The sequence below is a fragment of the Homo sapiens genome, chromosome 6 (assembly GCF_000001405.40).
Source record: "Homo sapiens chromosome 6, GRCh38.p14 Primary Assembly".
In the NCBI taxonomy this organism is placed as follows: Eukaryota; Metazoa; Chordata; class Mammalia; order Primates; family Hominidae; genus Homo; species Homo sapiens.
In genome coordinates this window covers 129,793,024-129,802,625 of record NC_000006.12, presented here as the reverse complement: position 1 = coordinate 129,802,625, position 9,602 = coordinate 129,793,024, and the positions used below count along the sequence as shown (strand labels likewise).

Here is a 9,602-nt window from a genome sequence, read left to right as displayed (position 1 = left end):
TTCTACTGGTACCAACTGACTCCTGATAAAAACATACCCAAGACAGAGCATTTAACAAAAGAAAGAGGTTTGATGGACTTACAGTTCCATGTGGCTGGACAAGCCTCACAATCATGGTGGACGGCAAGGAGGAGCAAGCCGTGTCTTACATGGATGACAGCAGAGAAAGAGAGAGAGAGAGCTTATGCAGGGAAGCTCCCATTTTTAAAACCATCAGATCTTGTGAGACTTATTCACTATTACGAGAACAGCACGGGAAAGACCTGCCCCTATGATCTGATTACCTCCCACCAGGTTCCTCCCATGATATGTGGGAAATGTGGGAGTTACAATTCAAGATGAGATTTGGGTGGGGATACAGCCAAACCATATCAGCTACCCCGAGTTTAGACACTGCTAATTCAAATCCTGTTATCTTGCTTCAGATTGACAAGGATCACCACAGAATTCCTTCAGTTTCCACAGTTCTGTCAGCTCCTGCGGAGAATACTGTGGGGAAGACAATATTCCTGTCTGACAAGTCTTCTCACACAGTCACATGCTGTGCTGGTAACTGTTAGGTCCTGTGGCTGCCATCCAAGTGCTTACGCATACATAGACATACAGGTCTATAACCTCCTGGAGTTGCCTGCCAGCCAGTTGATGATGTCCCTGGAGATCACATACCCCGACCCACATGCAAAGGCAGGGTAAGCATGACCAGGGTGCTCCAACTCCTGCCACTTCCTGGTTCTGTCAACTACCCAATTCAGTCTGAAATATCCCCAACAAAATTAGACCTATTCAGATTCTTTTGAGAAATTCTATTAAATACAGCTTTCAAGCCTATGTAACAGTCATCATCTGTCTTTAGCAACAAATCAAAGTTGGTTGTTTCCATAGTCCATCTATAAAGTTCAATAATTTTGCAGGTATATTTCAATGAGTGTTGACAACATCCACAAAAACAATATCATCATAGATGATGTTTTCCTCCTTCAATAAGGCATCTAAAACCACTCCAACTCCCTCCATACCTTCCAATAATTCATGAGGCAATGCACCCTCCCCAGCTGTAATGACTCCAAGAATCCCCCCTCCATATTCAGTGTCACTTTGTGAAGATTTCTTAACACAAAGTTGTGGAGGTCTTCACTCTCCCATACAATTGTACCTTCAAAGCTCTCTGGTAAGATGAATTGTTCCATGTGCTTGTACACAACTTGTTCACCTGCACACCATGGCTTGGAGGACTCTAGTGAACAATGAAGGGGGCCTCTTCCCGTTCTGCCTGAGAAAGCTTGAGAGCGACGTTCCTCTGGAAACCCACATCATTGGCATTGTAGAACACCCCAAGACTGGTAATAAGGATCGTGTAGAGAAGTTGGAAACTCACACTGACAACTCGGTCCTCAGCGAACCCTGATGAAGTGTCTTCAGAAAGACTGAATGCCTCAATTTCCTGATTCAAAGCTGGATTTGTGATGTTGAGTAGTAGGGATCCTCCTGGTCTTCCACAGGCCCTTAGCAGCCATGGGCATCTATTATGAATTTGACAAGCACACGTTGACTTAATGCAGGATGTTGTATCCAATGATCAGCCAGCTGCTTATCACATTTTGAAGTTTATGGTTATAGCAAGGTGACAACACGCCAACTACCACATCATAGTGACTAGATTTCCACTGAAGAAATAAGGCCAACTGGTCCACAGGGCCAGCCTCGGAGGTGTGGGCAGGCTGCAATCATTTACATAAAGGATAATCAGTTGGAGAACACAGAGCAGACAAAGCCCCATTAACATTAGCAACAAAGAAGATAAAGTACTTAGAAATAAATTTAACAATTAGTGTACAAAATCTATAGTGCAAAACTTTAAACACTCTTGAAAGATATAAAAATAGACTTGAACAAACAGAAAAACATCCTTATTTTTGGATTGGAAGACTCAACATCACAAAAATGAGGATGTCATTCCTTTAAGCAAATTTATAAATTTAATGCAATATCACTAAAAAATTTTGCAAACTTCATATGGAAAAATAAACATGCAAGAATATCCAGAAAAACACTTTTAAAAAAGCTTTGAGGGAATACTAGCTCTACTAGATATTAAAACATACTTGCCTCATTCTATTCTAAAAAAAAAAACAAGAAAGAAAACATATTATAAAGCCTCTATAATGAAAAAAGCATATTACTAGTAGATGTTGACAGATAGGTTGAATAGAACAAAAGTCCAGAAAGAAATCCAAGCATATTTGAAACTTTAGTATATGATAAAGGGAGCATCTTACATCAAAAAGGCAAAGAATGAATTTTAATAAATGGTTCTGGGGCAACTGGTAGCCATTTGAAAAAAAGATAACATCAGATATATAACTCACCTGACAGAAAAGAATAAACCCCAAACAGATAAAGAACCTATTGTTAAAAAAAAAAAAAAAAAAAAAGAAAAGAAACCATCAAGTACAATAAGGAAATCTGGATAAATTACTCTTTAAGCTGGAAAAGGCCTAATGGATTCTCCAAATCTGGACGTAATTTAAAAAAAAAAAAGGATGATTTTAACTATGTAAAAATGAAAAAGAAAATCTAGACAGCGAAAAGCATCATAAACAAAGTCAAAAAAGCCACTGACTTACTGGATGAAAACACTTCTATCACACAGAAAAAGGGTGAACTTCTGTAATATATAGAACATTCTTCAAAATTGAGAGTGAAAAGATTTTAAAAATCCAAATGAAAAATGTAAGGAAATGTAGAAACAATTCGCAAAAGGGTATAAAAATGGATGAAAAAAGGTTTAACTTCACTCATGATAAGAAAAATGCAAATTAAAACTACACTGATATGTCATTTATTATTAGATTAGGAAACATTTAAAAATACATAACACACTCTATTTGTTAGGCTATGGAAAAACAGGAACTCTCATATGTTGCTAAAGGGAATGCAGCCTTCTTGAGGAGAATTTCACAATACCTAAAAAACTACACATGTATTTACCTTTTGATCAAAGAATCCCACTTCTAGAAATCTACTCTAAAGACATACCCTCGCCAATACAAAAATATAAATGCACAAGGTTATTCATTGCAGCATTGTTTGCATTGAAAATGCCTAAATGCCCACACATAGGAGAATAGTTGAAGAAACTATTCTTCAAAGTGGACACGTCTACACACAAAATGGATTTCCCCACAATGTACACACAAAATGCCATATCTACAAAATGGACTACTATGGAGCCATACAAAAGAATGAATAAGATCTGTGGGAAGTAATATAGAGTGATTTCCAGAAAAAAATAAAAACATATACATTGAACTATAAGCTTGAGTGAAAAGAAACTCAAGAAGAAAAAATCAGAGACTAAGATAAAGATATCGGTTGCTACTGGGCATGGTGAGAGTTGGGTAGAAAGTAAAGAAAACAATCGGAAAGGGTCATTTCTCTGAATACACCTTCTTTTTATAGACCTGACTTCTGGAACTATATTAATCGTATTAGGTTTTTAGGGCTGTCATAACAAAGTACCACAGACTAAGTGGCATAAACAGCAGAAATTTGTGGCCTCATAGTTCTGGAGCCTAGAAGTCTGCATCCAGGCACTGGCAGGGCCATGCTTCCTCCGAAGGCACTAGGAAGAATGTGTTCCAGGCCTCTCTCTTAGCTTCTGGTATTTCCCGGGCCCATAGCAGCGTAACACCAGTTCACATGATGTTCTCCCTGTATGGATGTCTCTGGGTCCAAATTCTCCCTTTTTATAAGAACACCAGTAATACTGGTGTCCCACCAGTCATATTGACCCACCTACTCCAGGATGACTTCATCTTAACTTATTTGATTACCCCTGCAGCTACCCTATTTCCAAATAAGGGTGAGTCCTGAAGTACTGCGGCTTAGGAATTCAATAATGAATTAGGGGATGGGAGGTGGGACACAATTTAACCCATAATATTACTGTTTCTCACATTCAAATAAATAAATAAATAAAAATGTAAAAACCCACAAAGAAGGGGAGGATAGCCTAAAACTAAATACAATTGGAAACAAATGAATTGATCTACATAAATCAAATGAATAAAATAATCACACTCAAGAAGGGAGAAAAAATTAACTCAAGCAAATGTTGAACACAATACCTAGATTACTTGCCTTCAGGCTAAAGGCAAAAAGACCTCTAAACAAATATTGAACTCCAATTAGTAGACCTCTTTTTTATCCAGAAATATAGGTTAGTAATTCTGGAACTACTTGTATATTCTAGAATTGAACAAATAAATAAATTCGTACATTGTTGATATTGGGATCCAGAATTCTCACTGTTGGAGAAGATAGCGATAATCTGAAGAGGGGACTAGAATTGTAGATATCAGTGTGACTCATGGGGACATAGACAAATTGGTACAAATGGATATAGATATGTGTAGGTCTGTATATGTGTGTGTGTGCCTCTGTGCATATAACTGCACAGTATATATAGACAGAATATATACAAACAGTAGAGAGAGAATATATACATACATATATGCATATCTGTATACACATATATACAAAGTAGATAGAATATGCACATACAAACATATCTGTGTATATGTATACAGTAGATAGAATATATATTCATACACATGTATGTACAAAATATATACATATATGTATGTATATAGACAGAATATATACACATACACGTGTATGTACAGAATATATGTATGTATATGTATATGTTATCTGTATATATACTGCGCACAAAGACACACACACATATACAGACCTACACATGTATGTACATACATATATATGTATGTATATATGTATATGTATGTATGTATATATTCTGTCTCTCTCTCCCCCAACTCCATGACTCCCCCTTCTCCTTCCCACTCAGGTCTGTCCTCTGAGAGTACCTAGAAAAAAATGAAATCCCACTAACAATGGGGTTCACCTCTTAGCACTAGATCTTGTTTTCTAAATACCATTCTTCACTAAAAACAGCCAGGTTTCTCTGAAAATAAAAATGGCTAAGCAGGGGTAGTTTACAGAAAGAATAAGATAAACCTGGGACATTTCATCATACCAAAGGATGATGAGGACATACCAAAAATATGAAAGAGCTAGCTCGAAGGGGCTCCCATTGGCAAAACCAGGGACAATTTGAGTATCAAAATAAAAATAGTAAATTAAAGGATTTTACTCTATTAGTAAATTAAACTTCATGAGTCTCGAGTAAAACAAGCCAATTGGGGGACAAGGTAAACTCTTTCTTACAAGGGACTGCCAACTCATACATCTAGAAAGAGTGTTGGAATTATAAAAATCAACCTTTGCCAGCCAGTATAATAACTGATTCATCTTGTTTAAGGAGTAATGGGCATCCCCACAAGATCTTTCTTTAAATACAAAGGGTAAAATATAGCAGTTGAGAAAACTGCAGAACACCACATTAGAAAATAGTCAAAGTTAACATTACTAGCAATGGGACTAACCAGCAGCATATACCTTGATATAGTTTGGCTCTGTGCCCCAACCCAAATCTCATCTCGAATTGTAATCCCCAAAATCCACATGTGTCAAGGGAGCGACCAGGTGGGAGGTGATTAGGTCATGGGGGCGGTTACCTCCATGCTGTTCTCATGATTTTGAGTGAGTTCTTATGAGACCAGATGGTTTTATAAGTGTTTGGAAGTTCCTCCTTCGCTCTTCTCTCTCCTGCTGCCTTGTGAAGAAGGTGCTTGCTTCTCCTTCACCTTCTGCCATGATTGTAAGTTTCCTGAGGTCTCCCCAGCCATGTGGAACCACAGTCAATTAAACCTCTTTCCTTTAGAAATTACCCAGTCTCAGGTATTTCTTTATAGCAGTGTGAAAACGAACTAATACATACCTCTTACACAATGCACTGAGAAGAGCTCAGCAACACCTCTGTGTCATTCTGCCAAAAGTGAATAATCTAAATCTATTCTTTTTTGTGGGGATGAAGTCTCCCACTGTCTCCTGGGCTGGTGAGCAATGATGCGATCTTGACTTGCTGCAACTTCTGCCTCCCAGGTTCAAGTGATTCTCCTGCCTCAGCCTCCCAGTAGCTAGGATTACAGGCATCTGCCACCAAGCCTGGCTAATTTTTTGTATTTTTAGTAGAGATGGGGTTTCACCGTGTTAGTGAGGATGGTCTCTATCTCCTGACCTCATGATCCACCCGCCATGTTCTCCCAAAGTGCTGGGATTACAAGCGTGAGCCACCGCGCCCAGCCTCTGAATATACTCTTGAGGGTACATCAGACAAACCCAAACTTACAGGCATTCTACAAAATCACTGTGCTATACTTTATAAAAATGCCAATATCATGAAATTCAAAGAAAGACTCAGAAAATGTTCCAGATTAAAGGAGTCTTTAAAAACATGACAACTTTCTCTTTCAGCAGAAGAGTGGGGGGGAAAAAAAAAAAGAACATGACAACTGAATGAAATGCATGATCTGGGATTTTCTTTTGCTATAAGGGACATTTCTGAAACATTGACAACACCTTAACAGGTCTGTAGATTAAATAATAGTATCTGTTTCAATGTTAATTTTCTATTTTGAAAACTGTACTCTGGTTACTTGAGGAATTCCTTGTTTTTATAAATACATATTGAAGTATGTAGGGGAAAGAGGGTGTCTGCAACCTATTCTTAAGTGGTTCAGAAAAAAATTGAGATGCATGGTATATGTGCACACAAGCACCCACAGATAGTGACTGAGGAAAGGATGAAGCAATTGCAGAAACAGTTGCCATTTTGGGAATCTGGATGAAGGGTTTCTGGGAATTCTTTTTACTATTCTTGCAACTTTTCTGTATGTTGCATATTTGATATGTCAAAATAGGGAAAAAATAAAAAAGAAGGGAGAGATGGGGAACCAGAGAATTAAGGTGACTTGCCCAAAGTCATACAAAGGAGGCAAAGAAGCTGTCTGGGTCTCAAGCTCATGCTCCTACCACCACGTCCCTCTCTTTATGATGACACTTCAGTGTTCCTAGTAACACATGCTAGAAAGCAAATGAGCTGGGCTAGTGGCTGGATTGTTAATTCCTAGAGAACTTGTTTGAACATCCTGTGAACCATACTGGGACTCTAAGGCGGGCAGCACAGGGGCAGGAGTGTGGCTGGTGCTAGAGGCATTCTCCTGGCAATGTGCCTTGCCCTCTAAGAGCTCAGCCAGCTGTCAAAGATACAATGTCTAATATGTTGCAATTGAGACTGGCATTCATCTCTCTAAGGACTCTGACCTGGTAGGTGTGATCTGACCTGGTAGGTATGAGTGCCTACCTCTCTGGTCAGGAGCAATATCCACTCGTGGTCATGATGGTGGCAGTGCCTCAATGGCAGAGGGGTCCCAAGGGACCTAAGATGAGTGCCTTGACTGAAGCTACTGGTTTAAGGTAGAGTGACATGGTTCTGCTTTATGGGTAGACAAGTGTGGCAAAGGCTGGCAAGTCAGCAGGCAGATTTTGATTCAGGCTTGTGCTCCAATGCTAGTTGGGAACCAAAATACCAAAAAAAAAAAATCCCCAGGCTAAGGAAGTATTCCCCTTCTGTGCTTCCTATGAGCTTCCATAACAGTACTTGCCATGTTATACTGCAGTCGTCAGTGTATATGCTTGTCTTGTACACTGGATTCGAGAAGACAGTCTGTGGCATTCATTGAAAAAATACTTATCAAGACTTGCATTGTACCAGGCACCATTTTAGGTGCTGGGGATACATCAGTGAACTGTTTTTAGACAAAAATCGTGTCCTCATGGAATGTGCTTTCATCATCATATATTTAGCATTTAGCACAGCATCTGGAACATAGCAGGTGCTCAACAATAAGTGAGACAACGCCACTTGGAATGGGCACTTGTGGTGATTTGGAGGAAAGCTGCAGTGTTGTGGGCATCCAGGGAGTCCCAAGGCTCAACTCAGACACTCTGGAAACTAAGCAAGGGTCAGAGGCCTAATTCCAGTCCCCACCCTGGAGACTATGCAGTTTTTAGTTCTGAAATATTTGGGACTGCTTCTGGATCTGAAGGCTGGATCTGCAGGATGAAATGTTAACCACCAGCCAAAAGGAATCAAGAGGGATGAGACTCAATACATAACATGCTTGCTGTAGTTTGCAGGGTTGAATGTCAAGGACAGAAAGGGACATTAGAAAGCATGTGGTTAATCCTCTGTTTTCCAACCTCCAACCCTGCCATCCCCATTTTACTCTTTACTCTTTCTTAAAGAAGCTACTGCCTCTATTTCAGTCATACCAGTGACAGGGAACTCGCAATTTACTAACACAAGCATTCAATTTTAGTAGCTATAATTATTAACAAATTCCTCCTTAGGTAAAGCCAAAATTAATCTTTGTCGGTCCTGTCTCTGTCATATAAGACAACTCAAGAATTCGAATTGCTCCAGCCTGGGCAACATGGCAAAAACCCCTTTACCAAAAATGCAAAAAATTAGCCAGGCGTGGTGGCATGCACCTGTCATCCCAGCTAATTGGGAGGCTGAGGTGGAAGGATCGCTTGAGCCTGGGAGGTGGAGGTTGCAGTGAGCTGAGATCGCACCACTGTACTCCAGTCTGGACGAGAGAGTGAGACCCCATCTCAACAAAATAAAAATAAAAAAGAATGCAAATTGCACTTTCTTATAATTTGGATATCAGAGGGTCATTCTCTAATATTTGAAGTCTTGCCAAAATCTTTTCTTAATGAAAATATAAATGCACCCATCTTTTCCTCTTTTCCTTCTCTTACAGTTGAGCATTTCCCTTCCCTCATTTGAGGTTAGTGCTTCCACCTGTGCTCTGAATTGCATCCCTTATCACCAGATCTCAGTTCCCAGTCACTTTCAAATCTCGTGGTCACCCTTCTGCCCCCATCACACTATTGGAACTATTTGAGTGAAGATCAAGACCTCCTTCTGTACTACATTCAAGAGACGTTTTCTGTGATCATCATATTTAACCCTCCACGGCACCGCATCTGGCTCTGCTAACCACTTCCTCACACTGGACTGCCTTTCCTCCTCCCTGGCAGCTGCTCCTCTTCGGCCTCACGGTGGCTTCTCTTCCTTTAGTCCTTTATTCTTTGGTTTCCCCAGAATTCTGTCCTAAACTCTCTTCCCATTCTACACCCTCTCCCTAGGTAATTTAATTCACTGTCTTTGCTTTTGTCGTTGTTGTTTTGAGACAGGGTGTGGCTCTGTCACCCAGGCTGGAGTACAGTGGCATGATCATGGCTCATTGCAACCTCAACCTCCTAGGCTCAACTAAGCCTCCTGCCTCAGCTTTCCCAGTAGCTGGGACCGCAGGTGTGCACCACCACAGCAGCTAATTTTTTTTTGATAGATACGGGGTCTCACTATGTTGCCCGTGATGGTCTCAAACCCCTGGGCTCAAGTGATCTTCCTTCCTTGGCCTCCCAAAGTACTGAGATTATAGGCATGAGCCACCATGCTTTGCTCTACACTTACCAGGCATAACTTGTTACATTACACTTGTTATGCTTGTAACAAGTATAACAGGAATGAATTGTAATTTGTAAGTCTCTAGCTCCATCCCAAATTAATTTCTGGGCCTTCAGATCTATTTATGCATCGATTTACT

The 9,602-nt window shown here is 39.9% G+C and overlaps 1 pseudogene; it reads right to left on the bottom strand.

Moving 5' to 3' along the window:
* On the bottom strand, positions 975 to 8,602 carry B3GALNT2P1 (beta-1,3-N-acetylgalactosaminyltransferase 2 pseudogene 1; annotated as a pseudogene).